General features: G+C 43.3%; 1 protein-coding gene and 2 long non-coding RNA genes across 3 annotated transcripts in view, besides 1 other annotated feature; 1 reads left to right on the top strand and 2 right to left on the bottom strand.

Annotated features, from left to right (window-relative positions):
- Window positions 1–3948, bottom strand: part of LOC101927845 (uncharacterized) — a 31965-nt gene extending 28017 nt beyond the window's left edge. Inside the window, exon 1 of the long non-coding RNA NR_125427.1 lies at window positions 2253–3948. This is a non-coding gene — a long non-coding RNA (uncharacterized LOC101927845). The remainder of the gene's footprint in view (window positions 1–2252) is intronic.
- A 7297-nt stretch (window positions 3949–11245) lies between these two features.
- NCRNA00250 (non-protein coding RNA 250) lies at window positions 11246–15814 on the bottom strand. Its single transcript, NR_126028.1, has 3 exons — window positions 15574–15814; window positions 11565–11658; window positions 11246–11429 (listed from the first exon to the last, which is right to left on the bottom strand). It is a non-coding gene; the product is annotated as a non-protein coding RNA 250 (long non-coding RNA).
- The window catches only part of ZFAT (zinc finger and AT-hook domain containing), a 354552-nt gene continuing 353833 nt past the window's right edge, over window positions 21544–22262 (top strand). Inside the window, exon 1 of the mRNA XM_047422062.1 lies at window positions 21544–21901. The gene's annotated coding sequence lies outside the window, so the exon portion shown is untranslated. The remainder of the gene's footprint in view (window positions 21902–22262) is intronic.
- Window positions 21715–22204: a silencer, noted in NCBI's record as "silent region_19568". NCBI's record gives its function as "represses an Ori minimal core promoter by ATAC-STARR-seq in GM12878 lymphoblastoid cells {active_cell/tissue: GM12878}" and the evidence as "EXISTENCE:reporter gene assay evidence [ECO:0000049][PMID:35858748]".

The raw sequence follows: 22262 nt of genomic DNA, 5'->3' as shown, positions 1-22262 counted from the left end.
GCAAAGGCTTCTCAGCAATAATGTGTTATTAGCGGGGACTTAGAGGGAACCCCAAGCTGGTGGTGCCATACACAGATGATGGGAGCATAAATTGATGAAAATATTTTATAGGGGAAGTTGACAATATGTATCACAATTTGTAAATGTACATGCCCTTTGATCCAGCAATCCCACTGCTAAGAATATGCTCTATGGATAAAATCAAGTAAGTATACACAGATTATACTCATTTTTTTGCTGTAGCAAAATAATTTGAAAATAAAAATAAATAAAAGCAGAAAAGAAAAATTGAATATCCATCTCTAAAGCTCTGGTTAAATGAATGATGGTATATTCATGCAACATATTATAGTCATTAAAAATAAGTCTATACATGCTAATTTGTTCATTCAAAAAAATATGTACTGTATGCTCACAATATACCAAGTCCTGTTCTTGGCACTGACAATGTAACAGAAAATTAGATATTCAGGATCTTTCTTCTCAAGGAGAAAGAGTAGTGGGAGATGATTAATAAGTCAATACATAAATGTGATAATCTCAGGAAGTGATAGAGCAAAAATATAACAGGATGGTATGCAAAAGGGAGCCTAGGAGAGAGATCACCTTGAATGGGGGTCTGTGGAAGACCTCTATGAGGAAGAGATGTTTGTACTGATTCCTGCATATCAAGAAAGGAAGGCCAATCCTTCCTCAAAGGGCATGAAGACATAGGGGAAGAACATTCTAGAAAGAGGAAACAGCAAAGGCCCTGAGGTGAAAATGAGCTTGTTTTATTCAAGGGAAGGACAAAAAGTTAGTGTGGTTGGAGCAGTGAGTGGGAAAAACAGTGGTAAAAGATGAAGTAGGAGAAGAACTACGAGATCTAGGTCTCTGTTCCACCGCCTACATTTTTGTCTTCGGTTTCTTCATCTGTAAAATGGAGTTACTAATCATTGACAGCTTTTATCTCCGGGATGTCCACAAGAAGTTCTGTGCAATAGGCAGGGCAGGCATTATCATTCCCACTTTACAGATGAGGAAACCAAGATTCCAAAAGTTTTGTAACTTTGCCCCCAGTCACATATTTTGTAGTCAGCAGAATCAAGACTCAAATCCAGATTCCTGATGGCTATCACAGCACTCCTTTTGCTGCAGCACAATCTATCCCACCTTGTTTGTGTATTTCAACTCACAAAAGCCCTAAATTTGGCTGTGAATCTTTACCATCTCCAATTCTTTTTTTTTTTTTTCTTTGAGACAGTATCTCACTCTGTTGCCCAGGCCAGAGTGCAATGGCCCCATCAGAGCTCCCTGTAGCCTCGACCTCCCAGGCTCAAGCAATACTCCCACCTCAGTCCCCAAGTAGCTGGGACTATAGGCACATGCCACCATGCCTGGCTAACTGTGTGTGTGTGTGTGTGTGTGTGTGTGTGTGTGTGTGTGTGTGTAGAGATGAGGTTTCACTGTTACCCAGGCTGGTCTCTAACTCCTGAGCTCAAGTGATCCACCTGCCTCAGCCTCCCAAAGGGGTGGGATTACAGGCATGAGCCACCATGCCTGGCCTCCAATTCTTAGTAAGAAGGATTTAACCCCAGTGTTGTGGATAAACTGAGTTTTCCCATCTGCAGCTTAGAGTCGCCCATGGGTTTTATTTCCAATATAACTTGTTGCTTATATATTTATCTCTCCTACCAAAATATGAAAAGGCAACATGCTGAAACTGTCCATGGTGTAGGACACAGATGGACAGAGAAGACACAGGGTTGAATGTACACAGAGGGACACCAACAGTACCTGCACTATACATCCAAGATCAAACAGCTTCTAAATTGTGGGACTAGGATTTGAACTGCTATCCATCCAAGTCAAAAGTGTGTGCTTTTTTCAATCCTTGGGATAAAGGACCATGTGAAGTGCCTGATGCACGGAACTAGCTTGATTAACTTTAGCTGCAATTGTGGTATTGCACACTGTGTTCATAGAAGGGTCTCTCCCTGGCCAGCAGTCATCCAGTATGATGGCAACAAATCCAACTAAAGGATCCATGGGATTAAAAAGGTCAGATTGTGTGGATTTCAGATGATTCTCATGCTATCAATCCTCCCGCCATAATTTGCACAAAAGCCTGGCAGTCTTGCTCCATTTCTCAGAGCAGAATCTGCTGGGGATCGGGAGATTAATCAGACTTCATTAATTCTGCAAAATAAACCATGACATGTTTACCCGTGCACTTAGAGGCATTATCATAAATCACCAAAATTAAATCTCACCTGTCTAAGTAGAGGAGCAGCCTGCAACAGAAGGTCACAGCATCAATGGCTTCTTGATGGCTTCATTTCTTTCTGGGGCCTTCCTGTGACCAGCAGGACCAGCTGCACTGTGCTCCAGTTTGGTCATTAACAGAATCATGAACATTATTAGCCCAGTGGTTTTGAAGACACTCTAGTGTGTGTGTTTATTTTTGCATAAAGACTAAGCTACATTCAGAGGAGATTAGAATTTTGAGAGGCAACTATTTGTTTTTTCATGCCATAGCTTCTTAAGTTAAAGCCTGCGTATGCCTTAGAGATCTCTAGAACAAACATGAGGCCCAGAAGGGGCTAGTATTTGTCCAAGGCCACACAAGTCATTCATGGCAGGTCTGGGACTAGAACTAGGGACTTCTGATTCTCAGTCTGGGGCTCTTCCCATTCCAATGCATCTGCATAGGGACTTGGGGTAAATAAGAACATATTCAGAAATATTTACTCCCTCCTGGAGGACTGTACTGCCTAGCTTTTGTCTTGGCCATGTGACTTCCTTCAGTCAAGGGAATGGAAGCAGACCCACGACAAGCAGCAGTGAGATGTGCTTCTCTGCTTTTGGCATGAGAAGGCTCTACCCTGGTAGGCCCACAAGTCTGAGGAAGATGGAGAACCATGGAGCAGACTCAGACCCAGCTGTGGCTTGGGGGAGTCCAGTCCAGCCCAGCCTAGAGCAGCTGGTCTCCAGTTGACTTGTAGACATGGTAGTAAAATAAGTGTCTAGGTCTCAGAGTTTTGTGGTTGCATAGTATGCAACAGTAGTTGGTTGATTCAAGGCTCATCCTGCAAACACATGTGGGATTCCTGTGATGTAGAATGACGCATTAGAAGCCTGGGCTTTGGCAGGGTTGAGTTTAAATCTTGGTTGGGGCATTTAGTTACCGAGAGATCTCAGGAAAGTCACTGAAGCTCTCTGAGACTCAATTTCTTGAACACAGAAATGAAAGAAATAATACTTACCTGTAGAGGGGTGATCAGAATTTGAAATTCAGAATTTTATTGTAATTTCCTAGCCCATTGCAGGTTTTAGATTGCAAACCTCTGGCTGGAGAGTTGGGAAAGGTTTGCTGTAACATTAAAAATCAGTAATGTCAGAAGTGCATTCTCTTCTGCCTTGATCATAAAACCTTGATTTTTAGCTGGGCATATGACACCCCAAATAAAAACTATATTTTCCAGATTTCTTTGCAGCTAGTGTGATTTGTGAGGAAGTTTTGGCTAAGAAGATGTAAGTAGAGTGTCACATACAACTTCTGAGATATGTCCTTAAAAAGAGAGAAGACATCCTTTCCCCCTTCCTCTTTCTTACTGGTTTGAATGTGGACATGATGGCTGTAGCTCAAGCAAACATTCTGAAACATGAGTAGGAAACCAAATGCCATTTAAGGCAGGAAGGAGAGGGGGAAAAGCCTAGGTTCTGAAACCTTGGTACTAGGCTGGACTACCTGCCTATGGACTTCAACATAAGAGGAAAAAAAATCCTATTATACTAACTTGACTGAGCCCCTACTATTTGTGGCAGCCCTATGCAGCATCACTTGGGAGCTTATTAGAAATGCAAAGTCCCCCCTCCAGACCCACTGAATCAGAATCTCAGGTGAGGGGACCACAAATCTGTGCTTTAACAAGCTCTCCAGGTGATTCTTATGGTCACCGGAGTTTGAGGAGCATTGATTTAGAGTTTTCCAGCACATACACCTCACCTGCTAACTGATAGAGCCGTCCTTAATTGCAGGTTTTGTCAAGAACTTGGTGAAGGTTTAAAAGGCAGATGAAATAAAGCCAGGAAGGATGGCAAAGCCAATAACTGACAGTGTCAAGATGGAAAATGATTCTGACAAGGTGGAACACTGGACCAAAGCCAAGCAGATGAAATTTAATGGGGATATATATAAAAATCAAATAAAAAGGTTCTTTTTTATTGAAGGAAATATAAAATGTTCCATTCTTTGACTTCTTAAATTAAAAAGAGAAAATGTAAAATTACATATTTTAAAATACAACAAATAAAGCTATAAATCAATCCCAATTATGGCTAGTTAAAGGAATGAGAGGAGGAAGATCAGGAAAGGAAAAGTGAGAAAAACCCAAAGTAATAAAGAGACACAGAGTCAATGACAGAAAGGAAGAGGACTGGGAATCCACTTTCAAATCAATCTGTGGATCCTGAGATGATCTTCACACCTAGAGGGAACCATAATTACAAGTCAGATTTTATTGAGACTTACCATGGGCCAGGCACTACATTATGTGTGTTACGCACATTTATCCTGTGAGGAACTCTATTATTATCATTGTTTTTCAGATGCAGAAACTGAAGCCGCCAGAGGTTGAGTATGTTCCCCAAGGCCACACAGCTAGCACAAGTGGAAGCAGGATATGAACCCCATGGCCAGATTTCAGGGCTGTGACCTGCAGCTGCCCTGGTATTTTCTACTGTCTGATGCTGCTTCATGAAGCATGCTTCATGCTTGATACTGATCAGTTTCACAGAAACTGGTTTTCATAAGAATAAGGAAATCGATTGCCTCACATAACATTAAGTCCAGAGGTAAGAGGCATCCAGGTGCAGTATAATTATCAGTTCAAAGATGTTATCATAGACGTGAGTTCTTTCCATTCCTGTGCTCTGCTGTCCTCAGCACCTGGCTTCATCCTAAGGCTGGGTCCCCTCATAGTGCCAAGACAGCAGCTAAAAAATCCGTGGTCTTAAAAGCTTTGTGCTCCATGTTCATGTCAGCAAGGGTGAGAAATCTTTACCTGAAGCATGTAAATTACTGAAGTATATATCCTTTAATTTAGTCTTATTGTATCGATTTAGGCAAATGACCATGCTTAAACAATAGGAGACATTAAGAAGACTGCTACGAGCTGATTGGGATAGATGACTCAGGACTTAATGCTGCAGTCAGGGATGGGGTCACCAACCGGGGATCTCTGGTACCCAGAACAGATAGGCTCTGTTATTAGTCATAGTGATTCTCTCTCTTTTTTTCTCCAAAACAAATCAAGTTTCCTCACTTGTTTGAATCCTACAAAATTATCAAACAGTGAGAAAAATCATAAAATATTCATTAGAAAGCACTTTGGATATAAAACAATAAACCCCTCTTTACAACTCTTCAACAGCCTTACCACACCTTCAGAAGCATCATAAGGGAAGATACTTTGGGGCAGTAAACCTTGTGCTTTGCTTTGACAAATAAAATTCTAACCTGTAAAAGGGGCCAGCCTGTAGAGGTGGCAGATACTGGAGGAGGGAGGCAGCCAGCATTTGCTGAAAGTCTATTTGCCAGGAATAATGCTACATTCTTGATTATTTTAATTATTACAAGGAGGTACTATTGATGCAGGATTTTTTGGGTGTCGCTTCACCAGTTGGTGACCTCTGCAGCCAGCGATGCCCCTGCCCAGTGCCATGCTTGGCTCTGGGCTCACCACAAGAGGTACTCCACCACTTGGCCCAGCAGCTGTGTTTGGCCTGCACTCCAGCCTGTGGATGGGCCAGGCATGTCTTGACCTGCTCCCACCTTTGGCACCAGCATATGGACGAAGGGAACATGGTGGCAACCGAAAAACTCGGATGCCAGCTACCCCAAAGCCCCTAAGGGGGTATTACAGCATGTTAACAGTTCTTTCAGTCCTGTCCCAACAAACTGGGGCATGTGGCACCCAGCAGCTCCCTCTCCCATTGCTTGGTGAGCAGGAGGGGAGTGCTACAGGGTTACAGCTCTGTTCACATTCAACATTTGGTGGGTCCTGAGTTCTTGTCCCACACCCAGGAAGAATGAGGTTATGCTAACAGCTGTTGGGTGAGCAAGATGAAGAGTTTTATTGAGTGATGAAACAGCTCTCAGCGGAGAGGGGAACCTGAGTTGGCCTCCCCCTACCCAAAGTTGGGGAGTCTCACCCACCTGAAGGCAGGAGGTCCTCCAAGTGTGGTTGAGTCTGGGGTTTTTATGAGCTCAGAATGTGGGAGTGCATGCTGATTGGTTTGTGAGTATGCAAAAAAAGGCTGAAAAAAGGCACCACTCAAGGATGGGCATGACAGTGCAAATAACAAATTAGGGAAGGGTAGGTATATGTAAAATAGGTGAAGGGTGGGGATCAACCAGAGGAAAGCACACCAAATAGGAAGAGAGGATCTCAATCCAGTCCGTGGATTTATCTGAGACTTGTAGCTTGGCTTTCAGGCTTTAAATTCTCTTTGGTTTGAAGGTCCAGTTTCACCAGGGACCTGCCCTATTTTCCTAGGCATTTGACTGCCTCCTGCCACTATCACTATTATCCCCATTTTATAAGATGAGGGAACAAAGCCTCAGAATTGCTTGCAATTTTCTCATTGTCATTCAGATGGCAAAGTGGCAGAGCTGGACTTCAAACTCGAGTCTATCTGACTCTATGACCCAAGTTCTATCCACCACATCATATTGGCTCCACCCCAGATCCTTTCTGTTTGCTGAAATTATAAGTATTGAACTTTTAAACTGTGAAATCTTGGCTACTTCTTACTTGCTGTCTGACCTATGTTAGTTACAAGAGCTACTCTCAGATTATAATAGATTTTATTTTTTAAAGTCTATTTATTGAACACTTACTATGCTCAAAGAAATGCTTTATGTATATAAACTCAATTTATCCTGCCAATAAACTCGTGATGCAGTTTATTACAGAGAATGTTTTTAGTTACAGGTGATTAAATCGGAAATCAAACTAGTTAAAGTCAGAACCAAGAGAGGAAAGGGGAATTTATTTCTCAGAAAACTGGGAAAATGGGAAAAGCAGGGATGCGATAACTTCAAGCATGGCTGGATTTGGACTTCCAGTGGAATTATCAGGGATGTCTCCCTCTGATCTCTCTGCTCTGCTTGTCTTAATTTGGCTCCATTTACATTGGGTCTGGGGACTCCTAGACATCTATCAGGATTGTGTCTTTCTTGGTTTTCCTTGGCTTCATTCTCCATATAAGGTCTAACTATGTAGTAGACAAGATGGCTGCCAGAAATCTCAGCATCTCCTCTGCATAGCTGAGCATCCCCAGAACAAGAGTCTAAGCCAGTTTTCAGTATTCTTTGAAGTTTGAAAATGCTGAAATCCTAGGGTGTCGTTGTTGTTGTTGTTGTAATATAGTCTACTGGTTTTTAAAATAATTTATGTCTTTAAATCAACCACTCAATTTACATTAAAATGTGCAGATTACAAATCTGGACAGGTCAGTGAGTCATCATAGGCAACCACATTGTATATTATCAAGCTTCCATGGCTTACTCTAGTTCGAAGACTCTCCAAAGAAGGACAATATGGCTGTGACAGCATTGAAATTGAGATGTGTCTCTTTACATCAGCATTTTCAAATATCCATGATGAAAAACCTCTGAGAAATGTTCCTAAAAACAAAACCTAGAGATTGAAATTTTTACAAAATTGATGTCTGCCCCTTCTATTACAAAAAAATTTCCAGCTTCATCCATGTCCCTACAAAGGACATGAACTCATCATTTTTTATGGCTGCATAGTATTCCATGGTGTATATGTGCCACATTTTCTTAATCTAGTCTATCATTGTTGGACATTTGGCTTGGTTCCAAGTCTTTGCTATTGTAACCATCATTCTCAGCAAACTATAGCAAGGACAAAAAACCACACACCTCATGTTCTCACTCATAGGTGGGAATTGAACAATGAGAACACTTGGACACAGGAAGGGGAACATCACACATCAGGGCCTGTTGTGGGGTGGGGGGAGGGGGGAGGGATAGCATTAGGAGATATACCTAATGTTAAATGACGAGTTAATGGGTGCAGCACACCAACGTGGCACATGTATACATATGTAACTAACCTGCACGTTGTGCACATGTACCCTAAAACTTCAAGTATAATAAAAAAAAGTTGTTCAGAAAAAGACCCTCAAAGTTTTCAAACAGGAAATGAAACTGTTTTAAAGTTGAAAATGTCAGGGTTAACTATCTGTAGTCAGCTTATGCCTCTCATTGCCCTTGCCCCAGTCCCTCAGTGGGTACCGCAAGAAGTAGCTGTCTTTGCTATGTGAATTTTTCCCCCAACAAGTATACTCATGATTCACAGTTGTCTGAAACCCACCCTGATTTGTAGAATTCACCTGAAATATTTTTTATCTGGAATATATCTGCCACCCCATTTTTCTAGTTTTTTTTTCCTTCATATTCCCAAATCTCTAAAGATTCTAGAGAACATTTGCTGAGTAGGTTGCATATACCAGGTGCTGTCCCAGGTCCTGGGAATACAGATGTCTTCATCTGTTTTGTGTTGCTACCTAAGCAATTCAATTCTGTTGAATACCTAAGACCGGGTAATTTACAAGGAATAAAAAGAGGTTTATGGAGCTTACAGTCATGCAGGCTGGGAAGTACAAGATCCAGCAGCCCATCTGGTGAGGACTTGGTGCTGCTTTGACTCCCGGTGGAAAGCAGAAGGAAGGGGAAGCAGAAGCGTACAAAGACACCAAACACGAGAGGCAGCCTCACTTTATAACAACCAGCTTTCACGAGAACTAATTCATTCCCAAGAGACCTAATCCAGTCTCTCCAGAGAAGGACACTAATCATCTTAATGACCTAATTAAAGTTTGGATAAAGGCCCCACCTCCCAACACCCATTACATTGGCAGTTAAATTCCAACATGTGTTCTGCATGGAAACTCATGCAAAGGAAAAAAAAATAACACATCCAAACTACAGCAACAGATGAGGACAAAATACAGGCATGTCCTGCAGTGGAGGGGAAGACAGGCAGCCTAGTGAGTAGCTCTAACTACCTGTATCATAGAACCTGCAGGATATTGTGGGAGCAAATAGGAGGGCAGTTCCCAGATCGCTCCCCCAACGCTGGGGCTCATTCTACTTTTCCTCAGTGGTAAATGCACCATCCTGGAGCTGCTATCACTCACAGGACACCACCTCAAGCTGGAGATGTTGTACCTCTGTGTGACAGGGTATTAGGTACCAAGTGGATCTTGTTGTTTCCTCTTTGGGCCCACAGCAGAGAACCCAGGTCCTTAGTACCCCATGCTCTGAGTTCAGAGAACAGGCAGAGAAAGGCCTGGTTGCTTCCCTTTCTGCCTTTGCCCCCTGCCCTCCCACTCTCAAAAGCCTGACTGAGCAGAGTCATTTCAGCAAAACCAGCACCCCCACCCTCAAAGACAAAATAAGAGGAGTGTAGGGAGGGAGTAAATCGTTACTTCTAGCTGGAGCTGTGTGAGGGGGTGGTGGGCACTACCCAGTGGATTTCTTCTCCAAAATCAAGGAAATAACTTGTAAGGTTTGGGGATGCTTTGTCACCCCTCCTGCACTTCTCCACACACGTTCTCCACTGACCTGGAGACTGGTCATCAGTGGTCATCTTTTGGGGGTTAGAGAATGAGGTGAGGAGATGGCACAGTGAGGTGGTGAGGAGGATGATGACCAGGTCAGGACTGCCCCCAAGTTGCAATTCTCAAGACCTACAGGAAGGGGATCCCCAGGGGATTTTGAGCCCTGGAGTTGAAGAGCTTGGGAAAGCAAGTATTTTTGGAGCAATGGCATCCCTAGGGACCCACGCAGCAGAAGGGGAAGGAGGACCATACAAGGCCCACAGAGGAATACACACGGTACCTCCTGCTGGGGGACCCCAGAGTCTGATCCTGGTGAGGGAGGCACCCCAACCCTCATGAAGCTCAGTGGACAGGAATAGCAGTCATGGCCACCCAAGGGGAGGACAGCAACTATACCATGGACATCCACGTGAGGGAGCATCTGTCTTGCTTTCTTTCCTCCTCTGGGGGAGTAGAGACAAGTACAGACTGGGCCCCCTCTGCCACTTGAACTTCCTATGCCACGAGTTCCACCTGTCCTGACAGGAATGGAGAGGGTCAAAATATTAAAATAGACAGAGGAACTAGAGGCAACTGTTCCTTTGACCAGAAACAACAGGAAAGTTATGGAATTGAAACCAAAGTTGCTATGGAGAACAAGAGTAGTAGCAACTATTGAAAAAACGAAACCATGTTATGTTTATACCCCCAATTAGTTAATACTCCTCACTAAACCAGGGAAAGTATTTTGTTGCCTTTGCTGAATTAAAAATAGGCTCTTACAAGAGTTACTGATGAAAAGCACTTAGAACCATACTTGGAACATAATAAGACCTCCAAAAATATGAGCAAATACAGGAAGTACTAGCAGTAGTAATAGTAGTAGGGTATTTTCATCATATAACTAGTGTCCTAGTCAGTTCAGTCTATCATAATAAAATACCATTAATTGGGCAGCTAGTGAATAGTAATTTATTTGTCACTAGTTTGGAGGCTGGTAAGTCCGAGATCAAGGTGCTGACATATTCCATGCCTGGTGAGGACCTGTTTCCTGATTCTTACATGGCTTCTTCTCACCATGTCCTCACATGGTGAAACAGGCAAGCTAGCTCTCTTTGGGGCTTCTCTTATGAGGGGTTTGTGCCAATCACCTTCTAACAGCCTTACCTTCAAACACCATCACATCAGTGATTAGGTTTCAACATATAAATTTTGAAGAACACAAACATTCAGGCCACAGCAACTGGATAGAATTTTCAAAACATATATAAAGGATTTCCATAACCTCTCTTTCATGTGATCTACAAAAGAACCCAGCAGAATAGGTAAAGAGGGTGTTATTATCCCCACTTGAAGATGAGGAAACTGAGACTCCTTGAGAGTATGAGTTTTTTCCAAAAAATCTCATACATATGAACCTAGAATCGAAGCCTTCTGACTCCTATGTTTTTTTTTCCATGACCAGCTTTGTAAATCACAGAGAGAAGGAGAATGAGATGAAGGAGAATGAAAAGAAAAGATTGGAGAGGGAAGGATGAAGAAAGAGAGCTAATCATTTCATTGACTACGCACCATGAGCCCCGAGTATCCTGGGATTTTCAGATACTCTTTTTTTCTTTTTTTTTTTTTTGAGGCTAAGATTACATACATTTCCATGTATACATAGAAACTTGTTGTATTAGTCAGCTTGGGCTGAGTTGTGTTGCAATAATATCCCCCAAATCTTCAGGGCTTACAACAATAACGGCTTCTCTCTGGCTTGTGTTCATGCCCTTTGAAGATCAGCTGCAGCCCTGCTCCATGTTCTCTTTATGCTAGAATCAAGACCAAAGGAACAACCTTGAGCTGTGGCACACCAGAATCATGGTAGAGGCACACGAGAAATGTCAGAATCAGAGGATGGCACTTAAAGTTTTTATCTGGAAGCGGCAATTATCATTTTCACTCACATGAAATGGACCAAATCCAGAAACATGGCTAATAAGCCTGATGTCAATGGAGCAGGAAGAATACCTTCTCACAGGGAGGGCCACCAGGCAGGCCCTAAAAAAAGAAAAGAAACAAAGTTTTGGATAAATAGTGCAATCTACCAGAATTCTGCATCATGAGTCTCCACTTTCCTCTATTTGTAAGCAAAATACATCTATTCTTTCCCATAGGGATGCCAGATTAAATACAGGATGCCCAGCTAAATTTAAATTCCAGATCAACAATGGGTAATTTTTTAGGTTAAGTATGCCCAAAATATTTTTTTTTCTTTTTTTTATTATTATTATATTTTAAGTTTTAGGGTACATGTGCACAATGTGCAGGTTAGTTACATATGTATACATGTGCCATGCTGGTGTGCTGCACCCATTAACTCGTCATTTAGCATTAGGTATATCTCCTAATGCTATCCCTCCCCCCTCCCCCCACCCCACAACAGTCCCCAGAGTGTGATGTTCCCCTTCCTGTGTCCACGTGTCCTCATTGTTCAATTCCCATCTATGAGTGGAAAATATTGCACAGTGAGATATACTAAAAATTTTTTCATTGTTTATCTGAAATTCCATTGTAACTAGGAATCCTATATTTTAATTTACAAAATCTGGCAACCCTACTCAAGAAAAATAACCTAAAGATTCCATTCGGTTACAGCATCAGGCTTGAATTCCATGAGCTCATGGAGTTCTCTACACCAGGCCCAGATGTTCATTCTCTTGAGAGCAAAACCTATGGATCAAAAAGACAAGTTATCTGCCCCTCATATGCCCAGTGTATCATGGTGAAACAGGATACCTAAAACAAACACTCCCATTCAGAAAGTGAGAGGAGAAGAGGAACGCAGAAGTCACCTGTCCATGGCAATTCTGAAAGTCCCTTGGGCAGAAGTTGCAGACTACCTTCCACCGAGACTGGAAACGTTCTTTGATTAGGACTTGATTCTGGACCTAGAACAATAACACTCAATCTATTGTTCTGCACGGTGCTTGGCACTGTCCTCCGGGAGGTTTTTCCTTTTCAATTGTTCTCCTAAAGCATTTTTTGTAAAGGACAATATGTCCTCTTTGGAAGCTGGCCAGGCTTCTCTGTCTTCTTCCCACAGAAAGTTGGAAATCCAAAGGTCATTTCAAGTCTCAAACAGTTATAATCTATTTTAGTATGAGCCGGTGACTCTTTTGGCAACATAACTTTCTCACATTCTTATCTATTTGATTCCAAACAGCCTCATGTGCCAATGGCCACATCCGTAATTCTTTCCTAGTTGCGACTTTCCCTCTAGACTTAATTGCAGGTAACTTAAATTTATCTGGCTCCAATGAAAGAACTACACTTAGAATCTCTTTTCCCTAAGTCATTTTGTCCAACTGGAAGGATTTAATTGGTGCCACTGTAATCAGTTGAGAGGTTTTAATAGAGGAACAATACCTTTGATTGGTCCTTGCCACAAGGCTCAATTTTAGTCAGTCTTTGTCACTTAAAGACATTTCCAGTTTTATCTTTTGTTGTTTGGAAATCAAAATCAATTACACCCTCTAGTCCTCTGAGTTCTGAAATTTCTGGACCCTTTCTACTCCCTTTGATCTCCCCGAAATGGACAATTCCTACCTAAGCTCAACTTTCATATCATTTCACTACGTGCAGCCCACAGCAACTTAGGCATGAGAGTAACATTCCATTTCACAACTTTGCCTAAAGCCATAAACTCATTTAGTGCATTATCTGTCTTCCTAGGGATTAAAGGTGACAGTTTTACCTAATACCTTGCCACTAGATAACACAGGTTGCCATTTTTCCATCCAACAATGTTATTTTTTGCTTTCCACTCCCAAGCCTCAGAATTCATGTGACATAATTTAGGTTTCCTGCTATGGCAGCAACTCAGTGATAAGTCTTAATTGCAGTATTAATTAGCTTAGCCTAAGTCGTGATGGAGTAACAAAAAACACATCCAAAAATCTTACAATAAGAAAGATTTATTCCTTGCATATGTCCATGTCCTTTACAGGTTGGCTGTCATTTTGTAACACGTCATCTTTTTCTAGGACTTAGACTGAAGAAGCAGACATTATCTGGGTCATGTTGGCTTGGGGCAAAGTAAAAAGTAAAAAAAAAAAAAAAAAGGCACATATTCCTCTACTTGGAAATGGCATATGTACTTCTGGCTACATTCCATTGACCAAAGCAAGTCACGTGGTCAGGATGAACTTTTTTTTCTTTTTTCCTTCTATGCACTTTATTATTTTTTTAATTTTCCCATAGGTTATTGGGGTACAGGTGGTGCTTGGTTACATGAGTCAGTTCTTTAGTGGTGATTTGTGAGATTTTGGTGCACCCATCACCCAAGCAGTATACACTGCACCATATTTGTAGTCTTTTATCCCTCGAAGATGGACTTCTGATGGGTGAAAAACATACTAGTCTCACAGGGAAGAGTAGTGGGGAGTAGACCCACAGTGAAGGACAGCAGATACTTTTGAGCAAATAATAGAATCTACCCAGTAATGTGCTGATAAATATTTAACAACTGCCTCTCTGGAGGAACAGAAGCCCTGATTTGTACATTTGTCAATTTCCATGGTATAAATACTCTCACCGTGGCCAATTTCAAGTCACCAGTGTCATGTCATCAAATGTAAAATTAGAAAGAGACATGTACAATTAGCTCTTGTGAGCCACTATGAGCATGCTACAGCATACCACTGAATCAACCTCAGTTTAAATCAATTATTTGCTAAACATAAGTTGACTTAGGCCTGTTCCACAATATGAAGAACCCCTGCAGTCTTGCTGTGGATTATAACAAGGGAGGAGACTATTATGTGACTCAGCATAAACCTGCCTTAAACCTAAACTGAGGATTTGCAGTAGGGATGAGGAGGACTAGACGACTCAAAATTAAGTCTTCATATTATTTGCTATTTCAGCATTAATTGGAAAATTCAAGGGGACAGTAAGAATGTGAGATTGAAATAAAAATAGTATTTTGCCTCTATAAATAAGATTCAGCCCCAGGCTCCTCTTCTGCAGAAATTCTTATTAAGGACTTGGCTCTCCTCCAAGAAAAATAAGGTAGAAATCATTCAAAACCCTTTACTTCCAAATTATTCCTGATAGGAGCTGCTTGATGAGTATAGCTCTCTAGTTTTGTATGTTTACAATTTTCTAATAAAAGGCTTGTTTAAAATATCCCTGAGCTAGGAAGTAGCTCTTACATACTTAAGTCTTAAGCCATTTTTTTTCAAAGACTATTCCTTTTTTTTTTTTGACTGAATCTCTCTGTAGCACAGGCTGGAGGGCAGTGGTGCAAACACAGCTCACTGCGCCTCCACCTCCCAGGCCCAAGTGATCGTCCTACCTCAGCTTCCCTTGTAGTGGGAACTACAGGCACCCACCACCATGCCCACTAGTTTTTGTATTTTTTTGTAGAGACAGGGTTTTGCATTTTGCCCAGGCTGGTCTCAAATTCCTGGGCTTAAGCAATCCTCCTGCCTGGGCCTCCCAAAGTGCTGGGATTACAGGCGTGAGCTACCGTGCCTAGCCCATGTATTCTTTAAGTACACTGACGTCATCTCTGTGGGTGGTAACACTGGGCAAGTTGCTTACGTGTCCTGAATTTGTTTCTCCAGCGATAGGACAGGATAATAACATCCACCTTACAAAGCGATTACGAAGCTTAAATATCTGGCATACATAAAGTATCTAGCAAAGCACTTGCACATGGTGGCCACTCAATAAACAGTTATTAGCATTCACTAATGAGGATACTGATTAGAATTATCATGATTATTACTGAGCCATGAAACTAGAGGTTTTAAGTTACTATTTAAAATAGTGCAAGACTCTATTCAATAGCCTCAGAGCATTTGGCAGGAATAATTTGGCTGTTGATTTTGAGTGCATCTGACAGGAACAGGAATGACTTTTGCAGCTCCCCTGGATGCATGGATGTTATTGTAATTTAACAAAACTCACCTCTCCAGTTGCTAGTGCATTTTGTCTGTTGGCCTCAAAGCTTGGCTCAAATTGTCAGGCCAATGGAAAGACTGAATGCTTTGCCTCCAGGCAAAATTGTGGCCTGCAGAGGGTGGACCCTGCATTGCATCTCAGCGAGAACGGAAAGCTCACTCAGCATGCTGCAGTCTTTCATACTGATTTTGACATAAAACATCAGGCGGAAATTCCACTTCTGACTCTGCAGTAATTGTGGAGGAGCCAGAGGGCCATCCAAACACAGATGTCTGGCATGACGCTGCACACCTCACGAGGTCACAGGACAGACATTGCAGAGAGATCGTGATGATCATGCATAAAGGAGAGCCCACCATCTTCAGGGCGCAACTCATTCATTCTTCCTCCTTCATTGTTCCGGAGTTACTGTGAATAGTCAAGATTATTGTTTCAGACTTTTTCCAATGTCTTGACTTACAATGGCGAGAAAGATGTTGATGCTGGTAATAATAGTAAAAATGGTGAAAGTTTTTCCAGAGTTTCAAATGATGGAACTCTGCATCCTACTATTGTGTAGCATGTGTGAGTACGTGTGTGTGTGTGTGTGTGTATGTGAGTACGTGAGTGTCTGTGTGATTCAACATATGTATGTGTGTATTGATTCCTCCTGAGTAGCCCCCCCCAACCCTTTTTTTTTTTAACTAAGTATGTCAGCTTCTGGAACTGCACATAACAGTTTTCCAGCAGTGACACTCATGCATAGCACAGCCATCAAAGACCTGGAAGCCATGTAATACAGCTGACCTTTGAACTAGGGGAACAACCCCTGTATGCGCAGTCAAAACTCCCAAGCATAACTTTTGAATCCCCAAAAACATAACCATTAGTAGCCTACTGTTAACCAGAAGCCTTACTGATAACATAAACAGTCGATTAACCCATATTTTGTTATATGTATTATATACTGTGTTCTTATAATAAAGTAAGCCAGAGAAAATAACATTAATGAAAAAATCGTAAGGAAGAGAAAATATATTTCCTCTTCATTAAGTGGAAGTGGATCATCATAAAGCTCTCCATCCTCATCATCTTCATGTTGAGTAGGATGAGGAAGAGGAGAAAGAGGAGAGGTTGGTTGTACTGTCAGCAATGGCAGAGGCAGAAGAAAATCCAAGTATAGCAGCTCAACGAAGTTCAAACCGGGTGGTTCAAGGGTCAACTGTAAAGACTACTAGAGGCAGAGGCTCACTTAATTGCATGTTCAGAAATTAAGAGTTTAACATTATTAGAATATGCAAAGGCATACAGAGTGACATAATGGACTTTATATCACTTTATATCATTTATATATAATGGACTCAGAAGCAAGAGGGTGGGAGTGGGGAGCCAGGGATAAAAACACTACACATTAGGTACAATGTACACTACTTGGGTGATGGGAGCACTGAAATCTCAGAATTCATCACTATATAACTCATCCATGTAGCCAAAAATGACTTGTATCCTAAAAGCTATTGAAAAAAAAGAATTTAAAATTGTTAGTATGAGCAGCTCCACAAATTTGGGGTGCAAATATGGTCATATTATTTACTTTTCCAATTAATTCATTGAGTAAAGCTTGCTGCTATAACAACAACAAACAAACAAATTTTCAGTTATTTCTCGCTCATATAACCATCTAAATTAGATGTTTCTGGTTGGAGGGCAGCTTTCCTCTACAGAATGATCCAGGGCTCAAAGCATAATTATACTCTTTTCTGGCCAGTGGGGTCTTGCACCCACTCTACTAAGGTAGCTTTCCCTAGGGCTCCCAGGAGACTCCTAACAAAGCCAACTTAACTTTCTGTTACCTCTTCTGATAACGCCAGGAGGAAAAAAATTATGTAAAAGCTTTATATTCACTGAGGCATCCTACTATATTGAATTGTCTGAAATGAAAGAACATTTCATCTCCAGATTTTAATAGATGATTGTCTATGAAATAAAGAGGATTTAGAGGCCAGGCACGGTGGGTCATGCCTGTAATACCAGCACTTTGGGAGGCTGAGGCAGGCAAATCACTTGAGGTCAAGAGTTCGAGACCAGCATGGCCAACATGGTGAAACCCCATCTCTACTAAAAATACAAAATTAACCAGACATGGTGGCAGGCACCTGTAATCCCAGCTACTCAGGAGGCTGAGGTAGGAGAAGTGCTTGAACCCTGGAGGTGGAGGTGGCAGTGAGCCGAGATCGTGCCACTACACTCCAGCCTGGGCAACAGAGCCAGATTCCATCTCTAAAAAAGAGGATATAGAGGACATCTTCATATTATAAAATGGCATAAACTGAAAAAAACATAAACATAAGCTGATATTTTAAAGAAATCAGTTAATGGTGTTTCTAAGATTTGTAGTTGGTGCTCAATACATTTATAGAACCAGGCTTTTGAATCATGCCTGAAACTTAGCAGCTCAATTGTCATTTTTTAGAATAAATGAATGGTAATGACATCAGTCTAATAAGCATTTTGAAACATGCGCAAATCTTTAGATATAAAATTTGTACATTAAAATAAGTTTTTGAGATGACAATTGGTAGATATCCCACAAATGTTTATTTCTATTATCGAAGATATCATCAGGATAATTTAGATTGCCAAAGTAGACAGAGACATGCCATGTACATGTCACTCAGGACTGCTACATATGTTCATAGAGGTTGAGCACTGCACAGTCCCAGAGGATGCCATTCACAGACTCCCATGCAAATAGCTTCCCTGGGTTTGTGCAGTGCATACTGTGCATGCAGCTGCCTAATTTGAATACATCAGTCCTAACAGGCCGTAAGGGTAGTGCAGCTGATTCACCTTGTTCATCACCAGGACTGATTGAGCTGGTCTGGCTGAGTACTGCGTTCTCACTTCATGTCCCCACTGCTTCCTCGTTTACCACCTCCTCCCACAAGCTTACGTTCTCGGAAAGATATTGGCCTTCCCTGATAGAAGCACCCTCCTGTCAAGGATGTGCTTATAACCTCACCTGAGCCCATGCACACTCCAGAGGACCCTCAGTAATCCTGGAGCAGGAGAGCCCCTAAAATGGGAACTGAATGTTCTTTCTCTCTTAGTAATAAGGTACTTAAACACACACACACAGTGGCATTTTTTTTAATCCAACTTTTTGAGGATTGCCTATTAAATACCAAGAGACATCTTAGCTCTCTGTTAATTCACAATGTCACTAATTCAAAGATGTTCTCATTGTTTAGCCTCCAAAAAAAGCCTTAGATGGGTCCTTCAGATCCCAATGGCCAATTTTAAACATCTTATCCTTATATGTTCAATATTTATATTTTAAAACATAAAATGTAAGTTCTAAGTCTGTCTATAGAGTCTGGGGTGTGTTGGAAGTTGGGATAGATGGGCCTAAGATGAAGCAAAAAGACCAGTTAGGAAGCAGGTTTTGGTAAGAGTCCAGGTGAGAGATACAAGGGGTTACCCTAAGGTAGTGACCAAGGGCGTGGAAGACAGTTAATCGCTCTCACTACCATTTAAGAGGAAGACTTTATGGGACTTGAAGACTGACAAATAAAGATAAGGATAAACTGCAAATAACTTCAAGATCATGCTACTGGGCATTTGCTCGTGCCATAGTATGACGAGGGATGAAAGGACTAGGTATGGTGAGGACTTGCACATGGAGAGAGTTAAACAGCATATCAAGAGGGGAACAATACTGGATGCAAGCATACCACCAGGCTTTCCATTTTTGTGCCAAATTAGACAAAGGGACAAATAGTACAAGTTCAAAGTAAGCAAACGCTGTTTGATTTCAAAATTCCTCTTTGAGCAACATCACTTACCTACCTTGGAGTAATCTGTCTCTCATTCTTAACAACATGTGGAAAGCTCTCATCCTAGATCCATAGTGGCAGCTGTTGAAAACATTACAACTTCTTCCTCACTGCATTTCCTACTTCTGCTTAATGTCTTATGCTACTGCCAAAGCCTTCTTTCACTGCACGAGTGTGACCACGTAATTTCTGGTGCATTTTAGAGTAGTCCAAGATTTATTGGAAATTCTTAACTTCCCAGAAAATTCCTGGTATTGAGATATAAATATAAAAATAAAGTATGCCCCTAATAATTTTATAAGATAGGCAGGGAGCTCACTCAGCCATTCAATAGCTAGTTGTTGAGTGGTGCTGTTACTGAGGAACAGGCTGGAAATTCGATGTGGAACTAGACAGGGTTCCTGCCATTCAAGAGTTTTACAATCTGAAGGGAAAGGAAAATAAATCAAGCCTTAAAGGATTGGGTAATAAGTGATATATTGATCCATATGAACAGCCAACTCATACATGAATGTTAGAGAAACTTTTTGTAGGTGATAATATGCATAAATAGTAGAACACAAAACTAGAGAACAGTGTTTAAAGCAAGGTAGCTGCCAAATGCTGTAGAAAAGATACTAATGTATTCCAAAGAAGTAGACCACCAAGATTTTTTGGAAGACACTGCATTTAACTTGGGAGGGTCAAGTGAATAATTCCTGGGACATGGGAAACTTCAGGGCTTATTTAAGATACTGGGTGACATCCTTTACCAAGATCAAGTATACGTTTGGGGCTACAAGACAGGGAGACAGACACATCCTTTTTTAAAAAGTTAACAGCATAGCTAAAATTACATAGTACTACAACATTCAAGAAATACTGCCTGGCAGTAAGTGATTAAGAGCTAAATTAGAGGAATGGGCTGGAAGTCTAAGTGTGTCTGAATCCCAAGGTGCCTGCCTGCACAGCCCTGAGGTCACAGGCTCCTTGCCTGCTGGGAAAACCTTACTACTTGATGGATGCTGGGTAAATGCTGGTTAATTGAGTTAATCTTTCTTCAGCTAGTTAGAGACGTGGAGGACCTGGAGCTCCTTGCTGTTTACACCTTAACCAAAATGTAGGGGCCCCAAGGGAATTGAGGAAAGCACCCCACCTTATTGCTCGTTCAGATGCAAATTCAGAAGCTGAACAACTGCCCTCCAAAAGTTGCACCAAGGCCCTTATGTCCAGCTCTAAACCTTTGCGGGGATGGGAGGGAGGTGGGGACTACCAAGTGATCCACAGATCACAAGCGATGCTCTTTAAGGTGGTTTTTCTGAAATGTTTTATTACCCCTGCTTAAGGGAAGGCTTTGTAGGACAAAGAGTATTGAACTTGAAGCCTGGGTCTCCACCACTACCTGACCTTGAGTGAGTCATTTAGTTTTTTAATCTCTTTGAGTCCCGTGTTCCCAGTTGTAAAATATGGAGGTTGTGGGCTCCATAATAATAGCTAGGCATTTAGGATCTATAACGTGCCAGGTGAGGCGTTTTCCGCGTTATCTCTTTTGATCCTCACAACTACCTTGGTAGACTTCACTAATCCCATTTTACCCGAGACGTTCGGTTGAGAGCGCTTTGATGGCATGCCCAATATCACGCAGCGAGAGTGGCGGATCCGGATTCCACTTCAAAGCTGCCTGACCCTAACACTACGCAGCCCCAGTTTGATCGCAGGTAACCTCCTCCGAGATTTCCCTCAACTGCCCGCTCGGTTCCTTCTCCGCCTCTCCTCGCTTCACTGGCGTCCAAAGCGCCCCTTCGGGCACCGGACATGCTCAGTAACGCATGAAGACTTTTCGCTCTGCCTCGGGAAATTTTTCACGCCACTCCGGGAGCCGAGCCCGCCCCGCCCACGGCTCCTCCTCACGGGATTGGTCAAATTCCGGGAGGCAGCGAGGGAAGGGAGGCAGGCGGAGGTCCAAATTACCTCCCAAACCCCAGCGCTCTGGGCGCGCGCGCCCCGAGAGTGCGTGCCTGCGTGCGTGCGTGTGAGTGAGCACGTGAGGGCCCCAGAACGTGCACAGTGGGCGGGGACAGGAAATGGGAAGCGAGGGGCGGGGGTTGCCGTTGCCATGGCAGTGACGTCAGGCGTCGGGGAGCGAACCCGGCCCCTTCCCCACGCGCGCGCGCACACACACACAGAGACATGTACACGCGCGCGCACAGCCGCTCTCCCTCAGACACACTGGAGGGAAAGGTCAAACTAAAGGCGAGGGAGCAGAGAGACCGGAGGGAGCCGCTGCCGCCGCCGCGCGCCATGACGGACGCGGCGGAGGCTGCTTTCTCAGTGCGGACGCCGCCGATCCCCAGCTCTCGCCGCGCCCCCTGCCCCCCGCCCCTCGCGCGCCCCTCACCCTGGCGCTGGCGCGTCCCCGCGCCCTCTCCCCCGGCCGCTCCAGGCGCGCCTCGGGCTCGGGGCGCGGGGCGCTGGGAGCGGGAGGGTGGGGGCCGCGGCGGGCCGGCGGCCTCCTCGCCCGACCCCCGACCCCGGGCCAGGTGAGTGCCTTGGGGCGGGAGAGGGCGTCCGGAGCGGAGAGGACACCGGGCGCTCAGCCCCCCGCCTGACCCCCTTCCGGGGCGCTGACAGGCTCTCGGGACACGGCCTCTGGGGGGCGTCGTGGGGTCACTTGTGTCGGGGGGTGCTTTTTTGGCGCCCCCGTCCCTCAGGGTCGGGCGTCCGAGTCGTGGGGGGCTCGGGGCCGGGAAGTGGGCGCTGCGGTGCGGCCCTGGAGTGCAGCCGCGGCGACAGGGTATGGGGCGGGCGGCGGGAGGCAGGTGGGCCCCTCCCCGGGGCTCGTGAAGTGGGGGGACCGGGCGTGGGGGCCGCGGGAAGCTTTCGGGAAATGTTTATCCGGCA

This window comes from Homo sapiens, chromosome 8 (genome assembly GCF_000001405.40).
Source record: "Homo sapiens chromosome 8, GRCh38.p14 Primary Assembly".
NCBI lineage: Eukaryota > Metazoa > Chordata > Mammalia > Primates > Hominidae > Homo > Homo sapiens.
The sequence above is the reverse complement of the archived record's forward strand: the minus strand, read 5'-3'. Positions and strand labels throughout refer to the sequence as shown.